This window comes from Homo sapiens, chromosome 6 (genome assembly GCF_000001405.40).
Source record: "Homo sapiens chromosome 6, GRCh38.p14 Primary Assembly".
Classification (NCBI taxonomy): domain Eukaryota; kingdom Metazoa; phylum Chordata; class Mammalia; order Primates; family Hominidae; genus Homo; species Homo sapiens.
The window spans coordinates 89,425,782-89,446,463 of record NC_000006.12 but is presented as its reverse complement, the minus strand read 5'-3'; the positions used below and the strand labels follow the sequence as shown (position 1 = coordinate 89,446,463).

At 43.9% G+C, this 20,682-nt stretch overlaps 1 protein-coding gene and 1 long non-coding RNA gene across 9 annotated transcripts in view, besides 1 other annotated feature; one reads left to right on the top strand and one right to left on the bottom strand.

Moving 5' to 3' along the window:
* ANKRD6 (ankyrin repeat domain 6) overlaps window positions 1-13,312 on the bottom strand; it is a 200,683-nt gene extending 187,371 nt beyond the window's left edge. For 6 of the 8 annotated variants that reach the window (XM_047418408.1, XM_047418410.1, XM_047418412.1 and 3 more), the window contains exon 1: window positions 13,089-13,312. The gene's annotated coding sequence lies outside the window, so the exon portion shown is untranslated. The remainder of the gene's footprint in view (window positions 1-13,088) is intronic. The other 2 variants (NM_014942.4, NM_001242813.1) reach the window with 1 other exon arrangement.
* On the top strand, window positions 4,931-16,256 carry LOC124901360 (uncharacterized). The gene is made up of 2 exons (XR_007059675.1): window positions 4,931-13,047; window positions 13,877-16,256. It is a non-coding gene; the product is annotated as an uncharacterized LOC124901360 (long non-coding RNA).
* Window positions 13,041-13,520: a silencer, noted in NCBI's record as "silent region_17395". NCBI's record gives its function as "represses an Ori minimal core promoter by ATAC-STARR-seq in GM12878 lymphoblastoid cells {active_cell/tissue: GM12878}" and the evidence as "EXISTENCE:reporter gene assay evidence [ECO:0000049][PMID:35858748]".
* Window positions 16,257-20,682: the final 4,426 nt, after the last annotated feature.

Genomic DNA, 20,682 nt, shown 5'->3' with positions numbered 1-20,682 from the left:
CTTGACTTAAAGTGAAAGTTGTGAGACTCTTCCTTTCACTTGAATGCTTAGAGGCCATTGTGGGATTATTAATTCACCTAATTTTATTTAATTTATTTATTTATTTATTTAGAGACAAAGTTTCGCCCTTGTTGCCCAGGCTGGAGTGCAATGGCACGATCTTGACTCACTGCAACCTCCACCTCCCAGATTCAAGGGATTCTCCTGCCTCAGCCTCCCAAGTAGCTTGGATTATAGACATGCACCAGCATGCCCAGTTAATTTTGTATTTTTAGTAGAGACAGAGTTTCACCATGTTGGTCAGGCTGGTCTCAAACTCCTGACCTCAGGTGATTCGCCTGCCTCGGCCTCCCAAAGTGCTGGGATTACAGGCATGAGCCACTGTGCCCAGCCAATTCACCTAATTTTAATATTGCTGTGTCTTAGGGAATAGGAGGCCCAAAGAGAGGGAGAGAGATGGGTAACAGCTGGTCAGTGGAACAGCCAGAACACATACAACACTTATTAATTAAGTTCTCCTTCTTATTTGGGCACAATTCATGGTGTCCCAAAATGATTACAATAATAACATCAAAGATCTCTGATCAGCCGGGCGCAGTGGCTCATGGCTGTACCTAGCACTTTGGGAGGCCAAGGCAGGAGGATCACCTGAGGTCAGGAGTTTGAGACCAGCCTGGCCAACATGGAAAAATCCCATCTCTACTAAAAATACAAAAATTGAGCCAGGCGCAGTGGCTTACGCCTGTAAACCCAGCACTTTGGGAGGCCGAGGCGGGCAGATCACAAGGTCAGGAGATCGAGACCATCCTGACCAACATGGTGAAACCCAGTCTCTACTAAAATACAAAAATTAGCCAGGCATGGTGGTGTGCACCTGTAGTCCCAGCTACTCAGGAGGCTGAGGGAGGGGAACCACTTGAACCCAGGAGGTGGAGGTTGCGGTGAGCAGAGATTGCTTGACTGCACTCCAGCCTGGCGACAGAGGGAGACTCCATGTCAAATAAATAAATAAATAAAATACAAAAATTAGCCGGGCATGGTGGCACGTGCCTGTAATCCCAGCTACTAGTGGGGCTGAGGCAGGAGGATCACTTGAACCTGGGAGGTGGAGGTTCCAGTGAGCTAAGATCATGCCACTGCACTCCAGCCTGGGCAACAGAGCAAGACTCTATCTCAAAAAAAAAAAAAAAAAAAAAAAAGAAAGATCTCTGATCACAGATCACCGAAACAATTTTTCATAATAATAAAGAAAAAGTGTGAAATATTGTGAGAATTACCAAAGTGTGACATAGAGACACAGAGAGAGCACATGTTGTTGGAAAAATGGTATTGATAGACGCTCAACACAGAATTACCACAAGCCTTCAATTCGTGAAAAACACGTATCTGCAAAGTGCAATAAAATGAGCTATGCCTATATATCAAATATCTAGGGACTAGGGGAGCTCATTATGTAAAGGAATCCTTTGATAGTCTTACATAGATTTTTTTTTTTGACATGGAGTTTCGCTCTTGTCACTCATGTTGGAGTGCAATGGTGTGATCTTGGCTCACTGTAACCTCCGCCTCCCAGGTTCAAGCAACTCTCCTGCCTCAGCCTCCCAAGTAGCTGGGACTACAGGTGTGCGCCACCATGCCTGCCTAATTTTTTTATTTTTAGTAGAGATGGGTTTTCACTGTGTTGGCCAGGCTGGTCTCAAACTCCTGATCTCAGGTGATCCGCCCACCTCAACCTCCCAAAGTGCTGGGATTACAGGCGTGAGCCACCGCGCCCAGCCCTTAAATAGAATTTCTAAAGTCCCTATTAATAAACAGTTTTTGAAATCAATTTCCCTAGATATATCCCAACAGGAAAATATCTAATTAGTTATAAGTCTGTCATTGGATGATAAAATGTTTACTTATATTTCAAAGTACAATATATCCTGGCTTATACCCAATGCAACTTTTAGATTTTATTTCAGCAAGGTAACAAAGATGAAAAATGTTTTAAGGCATCAAAACCTCAGTTTTAAAACAGTGCTTCTAAACAGTAGCAACCTAACTTCAATCATATTGAGTACTGGAGATGTGAGGTTCTTTCATTGTTCCTTCAAGTTTTAACTTTTTCTGTTTTGTATAAAAATCCAACAGGTGCCAGGGGATTTTGCTGTTATTCATTACTGATCTGCCACTCTCTCCTAAGTTTTTGAACAGCAAATGGAGGAAAACAAAGGCTTCAGTAAGCAAGCCGTTCAATAGATATTCTGTAACTCAGGATAGTACCTTCTGGAGATTCAGAAAATTATAAACAAACAAGTATTTGTTCTTAAAGTGCCTGGACTTAGGTCCTTCCTCTCATCAAAGCTCTTTCTTTTATTAACTTTTACCTTGATTTTTAAAAAAGATGGCTAATGCAGGGCCACAGTGCTCATTTTAACTTTAATTTGTTTTCTCTTAGCATCAACAGGCAAACTGAGCTCCGATATAAACCATTCACATTCACTAAAGCCCCAGTGCCAACTTTTTCTATCATTTCTATTCGGAAGCGAAGCTGCAGAGGTCTCTGTAGATAAGCTCACACAGTGAGTGATTTGATTTATACGACAAGCTTACTGCTCTGCTCAGAAGCTAATGATTAATGCCATTGGGCATTCCCCTCTTGGTTCCAAGCTCTCCTATCAGGTAGGCAAGGCTTCAATGCTGGTTGAGACAAGAACTTTATCTAGAGCTACGAAACAATTTTTAGGAACCAAAAGACAAATTGCCATAAGGGCTCAAATTATTTAAAGGGTGCCAGCCTCAGCAACATGGCAAAATCTCTACAAAAAATACAAAAATTAGCCAGGTGTAGTGGCATGCGCCTGTAGTCCCAGCTACTCAGGTGGCTGAGATGGGAGGCTGAAGTGGGAGGATTGCTTGAACCTGAGAGGTTGAGGCTGCAGAACCATGATCACACCTCTGCATTCCAGCCTGGGTCACAGAGTGAGACCCTGTCTCAAAAAATAAAATAATTTGTGGACCACAGGTCACCTCATCAGAATCTGGGGTGATTGTTAAATGTGTGCCTCCCCAGACCTAGTGAATTAGAATCTATGGAGTAAGGCTGAGAATTCCCAAATTTTAATATATTCCCCAGATTATTCTTACATTTAAGCCAAAAATAAAATTCTAAGCTCCCCCAACCAACTGAATGGATCCTCTTCACCCCCACCCGGGTCAAAGAATTCCAAAGAAACCTGAAAAATAGGCAGGGGTGGGGGAAGCAGATGTGCTTCATTATACCTTCCCTTTTGGAGTTCAGGCACAACTGACCAGCAGTAAGATTAAAACAGAGATCTTCAAACTGACAAAACAGATTCTTTGTAGCAATAAGGTACCAATTTCCAATCTGACTCTAGTATCACATGACAGATAAAGAAGAAAATCAAAGTATTTTATCCCAAAATATGTTTCTTTGCCATATTTTGAAATGGCCCTACAAAGCCATCTTTTGTGGGGGGAAAATTGCTTCTGCAAAGAGTCTCTATTAACATAACTAGATCTTACCCCCTCTAGTCCCTCCATGTGCTAATGAGATCAACTGAGAGTCCAGCATCTTTTAAAGGTTTAAACAGAAAACATCTGCCATCTGTGGTCTCTAATGGTGGCCACCTATGAGACTTCACCTACATAATAAGAACCTTGGTCTCCACAACCCCTTATCGTAACCCAGAGACTTCTGTCTACTGATTCCAGATCTTTAGATAATAACTTTTGCAACCAATTGCCAATGAGAAAATCTTTGAACCAAACCAATACACACCTCACAGATAATGATTGCTGTCTTTTTTTTTTTTTTTTTTTTTGAGACAGGGTTTTGCTCTGTTGCCCAGGGTCTGACACTCTGTTGGAGTGCAGTGGTGCCAGTCTTGGCTCACTGGAGTCTCGACCTCCCAGGCTCAAGCGATCCTCTTACCTCAGACTCCTGAATAGCTGGGACTACAAACATGCACCACCATGCCTGGCTAATTTTTTTTTTTTTTAATAGATGGGCTTTCACTATGTTGCACAGGCTGGTCTTGAACTCCCAGGCTCAAGCAATCTGACCACCTTAGCCTCCCAAAGTGCTGGGACTATAGGCGTGAGCCACCTCACCCAGCCTGATTGGTGTCTATGCCTCCCTCAAATGTATAAAACCAAGCTGATGGGCCAGGCGCAGTGGCTCAGGCCTGTAATCCCAGCACTCTGGGGAGCCAAGGCAGGTGGATTGCTTGAGCCCAGGAGTTCGAGACCAGCCTAGGGAACATGGCGAAACCCCGTCTCTACTAAAAATACAAAAATTAACTGGGTGTGGGAGCGCATGCGTGTAATCCCAGCTACTTAGGAGACTGAGGCACGAGAAGTGCTTGAACCTGGGAGGCAGAGGCTGCATGAGCTGAGATCATGCCACTGCTCCAGCCTGGGCGACAGAGTGAGACCCTGTCTCAAAAAAATAAAAAAATAAAAATAAAACCAAGCTGTAACCCAACCACCTAGACACATGTTCCGAGGACCTCTTGAAAACCATGGCTGGCTGGGCACAGTGGCTCACGCCTGTAATCCCAACACTTTGAGAAGCCAAGGCAGGCAGATCACCTGAGGCCAGGAGTTCAAGACCAGCCTGACCAACATGGTGAAACCCCATCTCTACTAAAAATACAAAGTTAGCTGGGTGTGGTGGCGCATGCCTATAATCCCAGCTACTTGGTAGGCTGAGGCAGGAGAACTGCTAAAACCCAGGAGGCGGAGGTTGCAGTGAGCCAAGATCATGCCATTGCACTCCAGCCTGGGCAATAAGAGCAAAACTCTGTCTCTCAAAAAAAAAAAAAAAAAAAAAAAAAAAGGAAAGAAAAGAAAACCAAGGCTATGGTCACTCACAGTTGGCTCAGAATAAACCTCTTTAAATGCTTTACAGGAGTTTGGCTTTTTTTGTTGACATATGCATAAGTTTGAGAAGTATTGGTCTAAGGAAGCTAACTGGAAGATAGACAGCTAACTGGAAGATAAATTCGGCCAGGTGCAGTGGCTCATGCCTGTAATCCCAGCACTTTGGGAGGCCGAGGCAGGCAGATCACTTGAGGTCAGGAGCTCCAGATGAGCCTGGCCAACATGGCCAAACCCTGTCTGTACTAAAAATATAAAAAAGTTAGCCAGGCATGGTGGCGGGTGCCTGTAATCCCAGCTACTCAGGAGGCTGAGGCAGGAGAATCACCTGAACCCGGGAGGCAGAGGTTGCAGCCAACTGAGATCACACCACTGCACTCCAGCCTGGGAGACAGAGCGAGACTCTGTCTCAAAAAAAAAGAAGATACATTCGGTAACTTGTTCAAGGTCATTTATCCCCACTATAGTGAAGTAACAGTGGGCCACAGAGATTAAGTAGGTTCTAACTAGGAACAGAGTTATTATCAAACTGAGTTATACTAATTTTGTATCTAGTGAAGGCATCATCAACATGTTTTTCTGTAAAAAAACAGATAGTAAAATATATCAGGTTTTGTGGGCCAGGTAATCTCTGTGGAAACTACTCAACTCTGCCATAGCAGTTGAAAGCAGCTATAGACACCATGCAAAGGAATGAAACAGGCATCAAGCTGGATTTGGGCCATGGCTATAATTTGCCAACCTTTAGTCTAGTACAACTTTTTTTTTTTTTTCGAGATGGGATCTTGCTATGTTGCCTAGGCTGGAGTGCAGTGGCTATTCATAGGCATGATCATATTGCACTGCAACCTCAAACTCCTGGGCTCAAGCGATCGATCCTCCCACCTTAGCCTCTCCCAAGTAGCTGGGACTACAGGTGCTCACTGCCACACCCAGCTAGTGCATCTTTAATTCCAATGAAAAGTATCAGGATATGCTACCCCAAAATATGCCACTTTGGCATAAGGATTATTTTGAGCCGAAGGCAACTGAGAAGTGGATACAAGAAAAGCTCCTTGCCTTCCCCTATTTGCTAAAAGCAGGACATAAATTAACAAAGGTGTCCCTTCTCCTCTCTCCACCAGGAAGGATAAAGGTTAGTCACAGAAGACAGCTTTAGGTCCTTAACAGCCTAGAGAAGGCACCAGAGGCATCTACATAACAAACTGCACTAACTAGCCTTTATCTGCCATTAGTTCCCCATGTATTTGCCTTCCTACAATTCGCCATCGCTAAAGACTGAAGGTCTTTTTCCTTTGTCTTGTCACTTCTCTAAAAGTGTACTGTTCTTTGTTGAAGATGCTATATAAGCCAGAGTTCTAAGAAATCTTTTTGAGAATTACTCTTTCCCTGAATTTTCTCCCATGTATATATGAAATATGCATGTTAATAAACTTCCATTTGTTTTTCTCTTGTTAACCTATGTTTTGTTACAGGGCTCCCAGCTGAGAACTCACAAGAGTAGAGGAAAAATTATTTTTTCCTTCACTACACCAATATGAGCACCATGAAACAGGAAACTTTATTTTAAAATTAGGATTTAAGGCCAGGCATGGTGGCTTAGGCCTGTAATCCCAGCACTTTGGGAGGCCAAGGTGGGCAGATCACTTGAGGTCAGGAGTTCAAGAGCAGCCTGGCTAACATGGTAAAACCCCGTCTCTACTAAAAATACAAAAATTAACCGAGTATGGTGGTGCACCTGTAATCCCAGCTACTCGGGAGGCTGAGGCACAAGAATTGCTTGAACCCAGGAGGCGGGGTTTGCAGTAAGCCAAGATGGCACTACTGCACTCCAGCCTGGGTGACAGAATGAGACCCTGTCTCGGAAAAAGAAAAAAAAGAAAATTAGGATTTAAAAGATGGTAAATTTTAATTATTTGGGCCTTTTCCTTAGGTAGAACAGCCCAATGTCAACTAGTAACAGATAAATGACGCTGAAGCATTACTAGAATTAGTGCACATTACTGAAGTTTCTCCATGACTCTAACTGGGTCTTGGGATCTTTCACATGATCTTGTAATCCTTTAATGTCTACCATTTGATGCTGTGCACCCTCTTGGGCACAAATTTACTTCAAACAAATAAGAAAAACAGATACAAATTTTACAATTTTACTTTCCCTTAAGAGCAAATAAGTAAAATTGACACATATACTTTGTGATTATGTAACACATTCCATGGCAAAAACTTTTTTTTTTGAAGGGGGAATAAGTTTCATACCTAGCCTATTGCCAGCAGCCTAAAGTAGTTTTAAACTCTTATGATAACATTAACGAAGCCATTAAGACATGCATATTCTTGTTCTTTGCTAATCTTTCTCTGCTCCGTCTTTCTCAAATGTACAATTCTCTACATGGTTGGATGATTCTGAGTAAATTAAATATGCTTCATTCCCTAATAAATGTCTGAGCCTAGATGGCTTAATAGCATTTTTATCTGCTCACATGGCAATTATGATACATTTGTTTCCTGTATAGAAGTCTTCTCCACACCCTCCACTATGAAGACATAACATTTTATTTATACAGTGTATATACATATATACAAACACATACATATATATACATATACACATATATGTTTAGAAAGTAAGAAATAGGCCAGGTGCAGTGGCTCACACCTGTAATCCCAGCACTTTAGGAGGCCGAGGCCGGCGGATCACCTGAGGTCAGGAGTTCGAAATCAGACTGGCCAATGTGGCAAAACACTGACTCTACTAAAAATACAAAAATTAGCCAGGCACAGTGGTGGCTGCCTGTAATCCTAGCTACTCAGGAGGCTGAGGCAGGAGAATCACTTGAACCTGGGTGGTGGAGGTTGTGGTGAGCCAAGATCGCACCATTGCACTCCAGCCTAGGCAACAGAGCGAGATTTTGTCTAAAAAAAAAAGTTAGAAATAAATTACATAAAGGCAGTTACACTTAATTGACCAGTTAAAACACTAGCACCTTATTGTACAAAAAATGGCTACTCATCCACCAAAGAGTTCTATTCCTTTCCCAAAGTAAATTATTTTTACTAAGAAACAGTTGCCCAGCCAGGGACTGTATTTCCTAGCTTCCTTGAATCTAGTTGAGGCCATGTGACTGGTTCTGCCAATAGAATGTAAGCAGAAGTGATGTGTTTCCCTTGCTGGTGAAGGCAGTCAACACGGTTTCCTTTTGCCATACTCTTTCCCCCTTGCAGTGACTCTGGAGACCACATGAAGATGGTGGCATCACAAGAAGGAATGAACCTTGATCCCTGAGTCACCTGAAGGACAGCTACCCAGGAGAGCTGCCCAACAGGAATAACTGATTAGGACTTGTGTGAGCTAGATTAAACCACTGAGGTTTGGAAATGTTTGTTACAGCAGTTAGCCTACCTTACAGCATACAGAATATACCTGTATCGGTGAAAGACTCAAATCATGATTTATTGAAGTATTTCTAAGATAAATGCAACTATTGAGGAATCATATGTATAAGAAGAGCTTGCAGGTTACCATTTTTGCCACTTACCTACCCCATTCATCTGAGTTTAAAACCAGTGTGAGCCTGGGCAACAAGGTGAAACCCTGTCTCTACCAAAAATACAAAAATAGTAGGGCGTGGTGTTATGTGCCTGTAGTCCCAGCTACTTAGGAGGCTGAGGTGAGAGGATGGCTTTGAGCCCAGGAGGCAGAGGTTGCAGTGAGTTGAAATTGCACCACTGCACTCTAGCCTGGGTGACAGCGAGACCTTGCCTCAAAAATAAAATAAAATAAAATGAAACCAGTCTGAATGAGTAGAGACCTACTTATTAAGTAAATTCTGATATTTAACATCTTTTCTAACACTGTGTAAATTCTATAGCTCATCTGTATCACTGGATATGAAACAAGGTAGGACGTATTGTATGCTATATTTAGAATACATTTGGAACATAAAGTGTAAACCAGAAGACACTCTTAAAATTAAATTTGCCTCCCCCAAAGCAGAATGTACTGGACTTCAGTCATTCAGTACCATCTTCATGAGTTTTTCCATAGCTGTGTACCTAATATATTATTATTTACTTCATATTTTTCTAGACCTAAGGAGGGCACAGAGAGATGTGGCAGTTGTGAGACTTCAGTTCCACATCTGCCCTATTCAGAAGTCCAAGATGTTCATTCTGGGACTTCCTTTGGCTCTTGAGGAATTGGTCCTGGAGTTTTCAGGATCCAGATGAATAGCTGGGGGCTCTGAGGAAAAAGAACTGGTCGGGCTTATCTGGGGTCTGAGCAGAAAGAAAGCCTCTTGTAACTGGTGGGGGAAAGATATGTCAGAGAACTGAAATGGGATAAGACATCCAAATAAAGGGGCCTTTTATGGGGTGGGGGTAGGTAGGAATCTGTAAATATTTCCTTATAGCGCTTACTAACCTTTTTTGACTTAGGAAACCATTTGAGAATCTGATGAAAGCTATGGAACTTCTTCCCCCTCAAACATACATAAGAGCATTCACTTAAATACTTATACATAATTTTGGGAGATCTTAGAGTATTTGTAGCCCACCACTGAACCCCAGGTTAAAAATTCTTATTTTAGTGACAAATTTAATAGCTGATCCTCAGGTTTATAAAGGAACCCACCAGTAAATAATGCAGACACTTCCCTATAAAAGAGAGAGAACATAGCTATTTCTTCCATCTCTTCCCCCTTGACGGGATGAGGAAGAGCTGGGAAATAGAGATAATGTCACCCCTAAGCTTTTCTCTGCTGCTGTCCCTAACCTCAGTGCCTTGGTACAGTCCAGCAGTGGGGCACCATCAACAGAATTTGTTTTTAAAAAACGTTTAAAAACTTTATTTTGAAATAATATTAGTCTTACATAGAAGTTGCAAAAATAGTACATGAATTCCCTATTCTGTCCTCCCCCTACCCCTGGTAACTACCATTCTACTTTCTGTCTCCATGTGTATGACTACTCTAGGTACCTAATATAAACAGAATCATACAATATTGTCCCTTCTGTGACTAACTTATTTCACCTAGCATAATGTTTTCAAAGTTTACTATTTTGGACCCCCTGACTGGGTGTTTTGCAACTATAGCAAATTAAAATGGGCAATGTAGAAAATCTGAAAATTTCAATGGAAACTAGTATACCAAACATGTCTGGACACTGCTGAACCTATTAACTGGAGGTAGTTTGCAGTTTCAACAGTAGATCATGTTACATTCCTATCCAAGACAATACATCTTTGCAAAGCTGGGTTTTCTGTGGCTGCTGTGATAAAAGCCAAATGCTGCGGAAATATTAATGTGAAACAGGAAATGAGAGTGGCAGTGTCCAACACGATCCCAAGGTTTGAAAAGTAGTATAGGCACACACATACGGTTAGTAATTATGACTTTAAAGGATGTAAAATATTTTTTCTCTCAGTTTATGTATATTATTTTTTCAAACAACTTCTAAGTAAATACTCAGTTGTTTGAACCTAACTACTAACTACTGAAACCTAAGGGAATTGTGAAAAAATTACTAACTACTGAAGCCTAAGGGAATTGTGAAAAAATTAACTCAGACACTAAGGGCTCCATGAAACCAAGTTTCAGAATCTTTGCCTTAACCAAGAAGTAACAAAACAGTGTAAGATTCACCAAGGAAAGCCATGTGACCTTGAAGAAATAAAACAAAGACAATAACACAAACATATCAACCAGGAAGAGGAATTTGGGTTGTTAAAACCATTTTTAAAGGTCACTCTTAGCTTAATCCTTCAAATCCCACACAATGCCTTCTGGATAATTTGCATTTTTAAAAAAACTTCTAAAACGCACGCACCCAAATTACTGTTTTCCCACTTCTTAGGGACTCAAGCAAAGCTTTTAAAATCACAGCCATCAATCTATGTTGGAAGAGACTGGGTCTCCCCTACACAGACAGAACACACCTTCGGGATCCGTGCCAGGGAGACAGGAGAAACTTGGAAGAAGACAGAGACTAAAAGATCCCCCGACTTTGAGACTTTCGGCTTTTTTGTGGTTTGTATCTTACCCTCAATAGCCTGCTTTTAAGTTCAATAACAATGCTCCTTGAGAAAAAAAGAAAAATAAAGAATGCTCCAGGTTATTGTGGAAATGCTTGTTGGGAAACTTCCTTTCCTCAGGGTTTTTCATATAAGCAAGGGAAAAAGTTAACACAACATCCAGAATAGTGGTTCCTTGGGTGGGAGGCGAGAAGTGAGTGGAAGGCAATGGAGAGGGGTACTCAGGGGCTCCAGGGGCCTGGCGATGTTCTAGTTCTTCAGCCGGGTGACTCGTACTTGGGTGTGATCTATTGTTATTCTTTACATTGCACTCTAAGGTTTATACTGTCTGAGTGTATGATGTATTTCACAGTGGCAGCACCAGCATCTCTATACAAGAAGGAGGCCTTGGGAGTTGGAAGTGTGCCTTGTCTCTAAGCTGAGTTGGATCGCAGGCAGTCTGCTTTTACATGGAGCATATGCTTATCTGGAAAGGCTTTGGGGAGGCTGATGAGTTTAAGTGGGAGACTAAGATTAATTTTTGGTGCCACCATGAAAAAACAAGGAGTTAATAAATTCACATTTTTAAAAATTACCATTGGTTTATACCTCCCAACACTGCGACTAGTTGTTTTCTGGTCTCTTTAATTCCTCTTCATCCCTCTTCTACCCTTCCCCCATGTCCAGTATGACCTAGAGGGCAGAAAATACTCCCCAATTTTAATTTGTATCCCTAATTTTTAAAAAATTTTTTGTTACCATATGCTAAACAAATACTAAAGATGACAAAGTGTAACATGTATCGGTATAGACACACCTACTACACTCAAGAACAAGGCTGCAGACCAGTACAGTGGCTCACACCTGTAATCCCAACACTTTGGGAGGCTGAGACAGGAGGAGTTCGAGACCAGCTTAGGCAACACAGTGAGACTCTGTCTCTAGTAAAATAAAAAAATTCAAAATTAGCCAGGTGTGGTGGTCCCAGGCTGAGGTGGGAAGATCGGTTGAGCTAAGGAGGTCAAAGCTTACAGCCTGGGCAACAGAGCGAAACTCTGTCTCAAAACAACAACAACAAAAACCCCGCCAAGGCTGCTATTGGTGTTTTGGGGATGAGAAACCCCCAATCAGTATACCATGGATGGGACCACCTTGGACCCAGGTGTGTTTGTCTTCATTGCCCAAGTTCTTTCCACTTACACTGGCCTAACAGAACCTAAGCATGAATGAATTCAACATCCAACAGGTTCGCAAAAGGTGTCTAACACACAAGAGTACAATGCCAAGCATTTCATTCCCATCACTTCACTGCATGAACACAATACTACGAGGTTATGTACAATACCTGCAGTTTAGAGTTCTAAAAACTAAGGTTTAAAGAAGTGGGTTTTCCAAAGTCACACACCTAACAAGTGGTGGAGTCAGAACTCCATCTCACGGGCCCGAAGTGGCTCTTTACTACCACGTGACCCATCTCATGCTACCTCGCGGGGGAAACATTCTTGACCAGCTTTGAGACATTCAAGTCCCTCTTGGGTCACAAATAATGCTGCACTTCCCCTCCAGTCCCCGAGATCTACCGGAAGCAACACACTTAAAAGCCCAAGATAAGCTTGGGTGAGCTGATGTCTGGACCCAAACCAGACAGCACGCCGACTCTCTGGACCCCGGGAGATGCCACTTGCTGAGGCTTCGCCGATGGGGCTCCTGAGGGGTATCGGCCCCTCTCCTGCGACTGCACCCTAGTGCTGTCGTCCAGGGCGGGGAGGGACGGGGTCATTCGGAGGCGGCCGCAGGCCAGGGACCTACCCTCCTACGCGCCGCAGACCGCGGGGTACTCGGACCCCCGCCCCCACCGCCCTTCCTTCAAACTGCAAGCGAGCAGGAGAACGAGGGACGAGCCCCAGAAGAAAGTTCTCCACCTCCCTCGCCCGAAGTTCCATATTCCAGGGAGGCAACTGATGCCAGGCGAAGAGGGAGGCGCCCCGGGGGGACCCCCTCGCGCCGGGCGTTTTCGGAGGCCGCAGGCCAGGGGGCGAGGCGCGGTGTCCGGGTCTCCTCCGCGGGCAGTCGGCGATCCTGGGGTGCCGAGGGAGCAGCGCCCCCTTCCCCCGACAGCGTCCTCCCCGACCTGAGGCGCCCACCCCGGTGTAAGCGGGGGTCCCAGGGAGCCGGCGAGGTCGCCTGGTACCTTTCTCTCCCGCGCCGGACGTCCGCGCCGCAGGGACCAAGGCCGGCGACACGGTGGGGGGCGAGGGGCGAAGACGGGGACTGGCTCCCGCTGGCTCCGGCGGCCCCAGGGCCTCGGCGCCGCCCAGCGCCGTGCCTCCAGCCGCCCGCGCGCCAGGCAGCGCTCTCGGCTCCTGCGGGTTACCTGTGGCCGAGCCCGCCGCGTCCGCCGCCGCAGGGCCCTCTGCCCCGTCCCGCCGGCCCCGCCCCACCCCTGCCGGCGGCTCCTACGCCGGTGCCGCAGCGCCTCCCAGCGGCGAGCCGGGGCACGGCAGGGACCCTCGCGAGAGAGAGGTGGCACCGCGGAGGCCCTGGGGCTGGCCCCGATCTGCAGCCCTCTCCTGGGTGGGGCCACCGCCTTCTGAAGAGTGGGAGGAAGGGGGCCTATAGTAGGGTGAGGTTTTCCGCGTGGGGGTTGCCAGGAAGTGTATTGGGAGGGGAGGAGAATTAGCAGGAGGAACCTCCCACCTTCACTCAATTCGTGGCCAAGTGGATATTTCAATATAACCATAGCTCACTTAACTGGGGCTGCTCAGTACAAACTGAACAACAATGATGAATGACCCAGATTTATTGGGGTAGCTGGAGAGGGGAAAGGAAGCCTTTATTTCTAACAGCTTGACTATAAGTATCTTGTTGGAATCATCCCATATGGAAATGGCAAAAGCATTGAGCGAGCCTGACCCCCATATTCATATCACACTTTACATACCATTATCTCAGTCTGGTTTTGTCTATTTTCATTCACAGCCACTTCTTCAATACCTAGAAGAGCTCCCTGAACACAGGAAGCATTCAATAAGCTACTGTTGAATACATGTAAGATGGATGGGATCTCATTCCACCCTTTGAAGAAGCATGGACAGGTATCTGCTCTCCAAAGGCGGAGAGATGGAAGAGGAGGCAAGCAGCACCCTAAAATGGACTATCAATCTTACCTGAGGTTTTGGGACAAGCTTATCACGAATCTGATTTTTTTTTCTTTCTTGCTTAAAATTTTTTTTTGAGACGAAGTCTCACTCTGTCACCCAGGCTGGAGTGCAATGGCACCATCTAGGCTCACTGCAACCTCCGCCTCCCAGGTTCAAGTGATTCTCCTGCCTCAGCCTCCTGAGTAGCTGGGATTACAGGTGCCCGCCACCATCCCTGGCTAATTTTTGTATTTTTAGTAGAGATGGGGTTTCACCATATTGGTCAGGCTGGTCTCGAACTCCTGACCTCGTGATCCTCCAGCCTCGGCCTCCCAAAGTGCTGGGATTACAGGCATGAGCCACTGCACCCAGCCGACTTTTCTTATTCCCTCTGAAACAGGCCTGGTTTCCAGGAGAAAAGAAACATGATGATTTCTTCCTTTTCCTTAAGATGTTTGTTTCCCTCTCTCCTTCAGGGATCATTAGGCAGGAGAGATCCCAAGAGCCTGTTTCCACACTAGGAAGGGGAAGTTCTTGATTTTCTCCTACTGCTTCTGAAATTTTCCCAACCCCATAGTCACAGCTGCAGTTTTACCTAACAGGATGTGAAATCTCTCTTCTGAGTATCCTTTGGCCTTTTCCAGACTTTTTTTTCCCCCTTAAGATGGGGCCTTGCTGTGTCACCCAGGCTGAAGTGCAGTAGCCCACTGCAGTCTTGAACTCCTGGGCTCAAGCAATCCTCCTGCCTCTGCCTCCTGAATAGTTGGGATTACAAGTGTGCACCACCATGCCCAGCTAATTTTTTTATGTTTAACACAGAGGAGGTCAAGGCTGGTCTTGAACTCCTGGGCTCAAGTAATCCTCCGGCCTCAGCCTCCCAAAGTGTTGGGATTACAGGTGTGAGCCACCGCGCCCAGCCCTTCTTCAGATTTGTGCCCCATTCCTGTTGCTCTACACCTGGAGCTGATAGAAGAACACATTTCCTTTCTCTGCTGGCTTGTAGCTCCAGGTTTCTCTCCAGGCAGGTTACTAATGAGTTCCTAGATAACCCTCAAAGTCAAAGTTTGTACACATGACCTTTCTTTTTATTTTTTGAGATGGAGTTTTGCTTTTATTGCCCAGGCTAGAGTGCAGTGGTGCAATCTCGGCTCACTGCAACCTCCACCTTCCGGTTTCAAGCAATTCTCCTGCCTCAGCCTCCCAAGTAGCTGGGATTACAGGCGCCTGCCACCACGCCCAGCTAATTTTTTTGTATTTTTAGTAGAGACGGAGTTTCACCATGTTGGTCAGGCTGATCTCGAACTGCTGACCTTGTGATCCACCTGCCTCAGCCTCCCAAAGTGCTGGGATTACAGGTGTGAGCCACCGCGCCCAGCCACATGACCTTTCAATGTGATCATTTCTCTCTTGTACTTTTCCACATTGAGTTTTCCTAGCTAGTCCCTCGAATAAACTTCCAAAGATGCAAATGCTCAGTTTCCCTGATAGGCTTTTAAAACATCACCAGAAAGTCACATTGAGATGAGATTTTAAGTTATATTTGTGGGTAGTCAGAGCAATGACCCCGAAAGAAACAGAAAGCCCAAGCCAGCCTGCAAGACATGTGAGCGCTCCTGGGAACTGACTGGTCTGCTTTTGTTCCCAGACTTTGATTAATGGGGATTCCTGGCAGGAGGTCTCATGAGAGCCAAAGCAGGCAGTGGCTGAGCTGCTTGGAGATCTTGCTTGCTTATCTCCAAGTGGGCAGACAGTCTTTGGGCGACCAACGAAGAAGACTCCTAAATCTCCCTCTTTATGAGAAGGGCTCCCAGGCTGCAGCTCTGTTCTTGCCCCTACGTTCAGCTCAATCACAGCCAGCCTCTTATATTCACCCTAGCTCACCCTCCTTCTGCCTTGTGAGAAAGAAGTTTGCTCTGCAAATGATCATTTTCACTGCTTTGTGATAATATAATCTGCTCCTATTTTCAACAACATGTCTTTAATGAGCTGACTGCATTAGCTGTCTTTCATGTTGTTAGCTTCAACGCAGCCTTCAACACACCATTCTGGCTTCCATCCCTGCCACTCCACTGAAACTGCCTTTGCTAAAGCTTCCACTCAAGGAAGAACCCTTCCATCTGCCGCTCTATAATCATATCCTTCTCTTTCAGAGGAAACCACCATCCTAAGTTTTGTGTTAATAATTATGTTATCACAAATATATGTGTCCCTAAACACTACATGGTTTGTTTTTGCGTGTTTTTGAGCTTTTTTAAAATAGAATCATTCTGCATTATTCCCATGCAACTTGCAGCTTTTGCCCAGCATTATGTTTCTGAGATTCACCTATCTGATTTCTCTGTTATATAGGTATTTTGTTGTAAAAACATAACACAATTTAATTACCCATTCTACTTTTGGATGTTGGATTGGCTCCAGTTTTTGCTATTGCAAACAGTGTTGCTGTGAATATTCTTAAATATTTCTCCGATACATGTGTGTAAGAATGTTTTTTAGGATATATACCTAGAAGTGGAATCATCAGGTCTTAAGGTAAGTGCACGTTCAAATTTACTAGGTAATGTCAAACTGTCTAAACTGGTTGTTTTCTAAAATTGTTTTCTAAAGTGGTCATACCAATTTTCATTTCTAACACCTGTATATGAAAGTCATCTGGCCGGGCATGGTGGCTCACGCCTGTAAATCCCAGCACTTTGGGAGGTCGAGGCGGGTGGATCACGAAGTCAGGAGATCGAGACCATCCTGGCTAACACGGTGAAACCCCATCTCTACTAAAAATACAAAAAATTAGCCTGGCATGGTGGCGGACGCCTGTAGTCCCAGCTACTCGGGAGGCTGAGGCAGGAGAATGGCGTGAACCCAGGAGGTGGAGCTTGCAGTGAGATCGTGCCACTGCACTCCAGCCTGGGTGACAGAGCGGGACTCCGTCTCAGAAAAAAAAAAAAGAAAGTCATCCATGTCCCACAATCTTTGCCAGCACTTGTTTTCATCTAAATGATCTCTCATAATAGTTGTAGTTTGTATTTCCCCAATTACCAGTATGGCTGAGCATCTTTAATGTTTAATAGCTAGTCCTGTTTCCTCTTTTGTTAATTGATGGTGTCTTTTGCCTTGTTTCATGTGTTTTGAGAAGTCCTTTCTGACCCCAAGGATATAAAAATATTCTCCCATATTTTATTTCAAGTGTTACAATTTTGTCTTTCATGTGTAAGTCCACATTCTATCTGAAATTCATTTCTCCTTTCATTTGCAATGCCAGAACTCTCTTACAATGGATTTTTATACACATATAGGTTTGTTTTCGGTCCTCTATTTTGTTCCATTTGTCTATCCCTCTGCTAGCATCATACTGCCTGAAATCTTTGGTTTTCTTTTTTTTTTCTTTCTCTTTCTCTCTTTCTTTTCTCTTTTTTTTTCTTTTTGAAAGAGCCTCGCTCTGTTGCCCAGGCCAGAGCATAGTAACATGATCTTGGCTCACTGCAACCTCCTTCTCCTGGGTTCAAGTGATTCTCCTGCCTCAGCCTCCTGAGTAGCTGGGATTACAGTTGCATGCCACCACGCCCAGCTAATTTTTTTAAAATTATTTTTTAGTAGAGACAGGGTTTCACCGTGTTGGCCAGGCTGGTCTTGAACTCCTGACCTCAAGTGATCCACCCGCCTTGGCCTCCCAAAGTGCTGGGATTACAGGTGTGAGCCACTGTGCCTAGCCTGTGGTTTTATTTCAAGTGTTGATTTCCAAATATACAAGTCCTACCCTGACTTATTTCTCTTTTTTATTTATACAGATCTCAAGTATTCTTAGCTCTTTTCTCCTTCATAGACATTTTCTAATTCATTTGTTATGATAAACTTGAGATTTTAATTTGAAATCTCAAATCTCAGTAAATATATGTGGTGGATTGCATTGTTCATTCACAATTATTCGTACCCTTTCCATCTTTGCCATGCTTTTCTATAGGTCGGGTAAACCAGTCTGCTCCATTGGTTTTGGGCTTGTGTTGACTTGCCTTGGCAAACACCACATTGGAACAGAAGCTTAAAATATGTTGTATGCTTTAGTGCTTCCCCTACCTCCCTTGAGCTTCTGCCATTTGCCATGAGAATATCATGCCCCAAAGAGTGGCTGCACCTTCCGTGGGGATCCAGAATGAAAAGACAAATGGAATCATGCAGAGTCCAATATGGCCACAAAAAGTCTGCAGCCTTCATGTAATAGAAGCAAGAATGTTTCCTACTACTGCTATTTGGAAAAAATTGGCATCTTTATGATATTAAGTCATTGGTACAATGTGTGTGTGTGTGTGTGTGTGTGTGTGTGTGTAGCTCTGTGCAATTTTATCACATATGTAGTTTCATATAACCACCATTCTATCAAAATACAGAACTATGCCATCACCACAAAGAATCATCCTCATGCTACTTAATTATAGTTACACCCAACCCCCTCCCCGACACCATCCCTAATCTCTGACAACCACTAATCTGTTCTCCATCTCTATAATTTTGTCATTTTAAGAATGTTACGTAGGCCAGGCGCGGTGGCTCATGCCTGTAATCCCAGCACTTTGGGAGGCCAAGGCGGGGGCGGATCACTTGAGGTCAGGAGTTCAAGACCAGCCTGGCCAAAACGGCAAAACTCCATCTCTACCAAAAATAACAAAAATTAGCTGGGCATGGTGGCATGCCTGTAGTCCCAGCTACTCGAGAGGCTGAGGCAGAAGAATCGCTTGAACCCAGGAGGCAGAGGTTGCAGTGAGCCGAGATCACACCACTGCACTCCAGCCTGGGCAACAAAGCAAGATTCCATCTCAAAAAAACCCAGAATATTATGTAAATGAAATCATACAGTATGTGGCCTTTTGAGGCTGCCTTTTTCTTCATTCAGCATAATGCCCTTGAGATTCATCCAAGTTGTTGTGTGTGTCAACTGTTGATTCTTTCCATTGCTAAGTAGTATTCCACAGTGTGGATATACTACAGTTTGTTTAGCCATTCACCCATTGAACAGCATCTGGGTTTGGGTTATTATGAATAAAGCTGCTGTGAACATTCATATACATGTTTTCATATGAACATAGTTTTCACTTCTCTGGGATAAGTAACCAGAAGGGCAATTGCTGGGTCATTTTGTAGTCGCATGTTTAGTGTTTAAGAAACTGCCAAACTGTTTTCCAGGGTGGCTATACCATTTTACACTTCCCACCACCAATGTATGAGATATCTGAGTTTTCTGTATCCTTGCCAGCATTTGGTGTTGTCACTATTTTTTAATTTCAGTCATTTTGGTAGTTATGTGGTAGTATCTCACTGTGGTCTTAATAATTTGCATTTCTGGGCAGGGGGTGGTAGCTCACGCCTGTAATTCCAACACTTTGGGAGGCTGAGGAGGGATGATTGCTTGGGGTTAGGGGCTCAAGACCAACCGGGGCAACATAGTGAGACCCTGTCTCTACAAAAAAATTTTTTTTAATTAGCAGGGCATAGTGGCACAAGCCTGTAGTCCTAGCTAATTGGCAGGCTGAGACAGGAGGATTGCTTGAGCCCAGGAATTCAGGGCTGCAGTGAGCTATGACTGTACTCTAGCCTGGGTGACAAAGTGAGACCCTTCTCTAATAATAATAATAATAATTTGCATGCCTTAATGTCTAATGGTGTTGAACATCTTTTCATGTGCTTATTTGACATTACTATATCCTTGTCGGTGAAATGTTTTTTGCTATTTTCTAATTGGATTTTTTCCCCTAAGTTTTGAGAATTCCTTATACTTTCTAGATATGAGGCTTCTGTCAGATATGTGGTTAGCAAATATTTTACCCTAGTCCTTAGCTTGTCTTTGCATCCTCTTAACAGGGTCTTTGCAGTGAAAAAGTTTTTTTAATCTTGACAAAGTCCAATTTATCAATTTTTTATCTTATGAATAAAATAAAATAAATGGCACAATTCTAGTGTCACAATTCTTTTGTTTCATTTTCCAATCTTATGCAGTCAAGGATCTACAGTACATCGTGGAATAGGAGTGGTGATAGTGGGCATCCTTCTCTGTTCCTAACTTTAAGCTTCTGATTTTCTGATCTGTCTTCCTTCCACATTTTCAGTTCCTAAGGTAAGGGGACTATAGTTATCAGTTACATTGTGTTTGGCTACAAGAGTGTGCTTGCCTAGAGTGGCTTAAACAACAAAAACATGTAGGCTGGGCAGGGTGGTTCACACCTGTAATCCCAGCACTTTGGGAAGCTAAGGTGGGAGGAGCTAAGGAGGATCGCTTGAGACCAGGAGGTCAAGAATGCAGTGAGCCATGATTGTGTCACTGCACTCCAGCCAAGGTGACAGAGTGAGACCCTGTCTCAAAAAAAAATAATAATAATAATTTATATGATAAACATATGTGGCCTTGGGTTCTTTCTGTCATTCTACTGTACCACCCTCAGTTTTGGCTTTTGTCTTTGATGACATCCAGTCAAGAAAGGTTGCAGGCTTTCTCACAGTATTTATTTCAACTGGGGAACAACTTCGTATCAGATGCCCCTGAGACATATATCCTTTCACATGTCATTGGTTATCACTGGATGACAAAGATAGGGGAATGGTTACCATAATTACCATAGACTAACCATGATTCAACTTCTGGTCTGGGGTTCCTTCCCT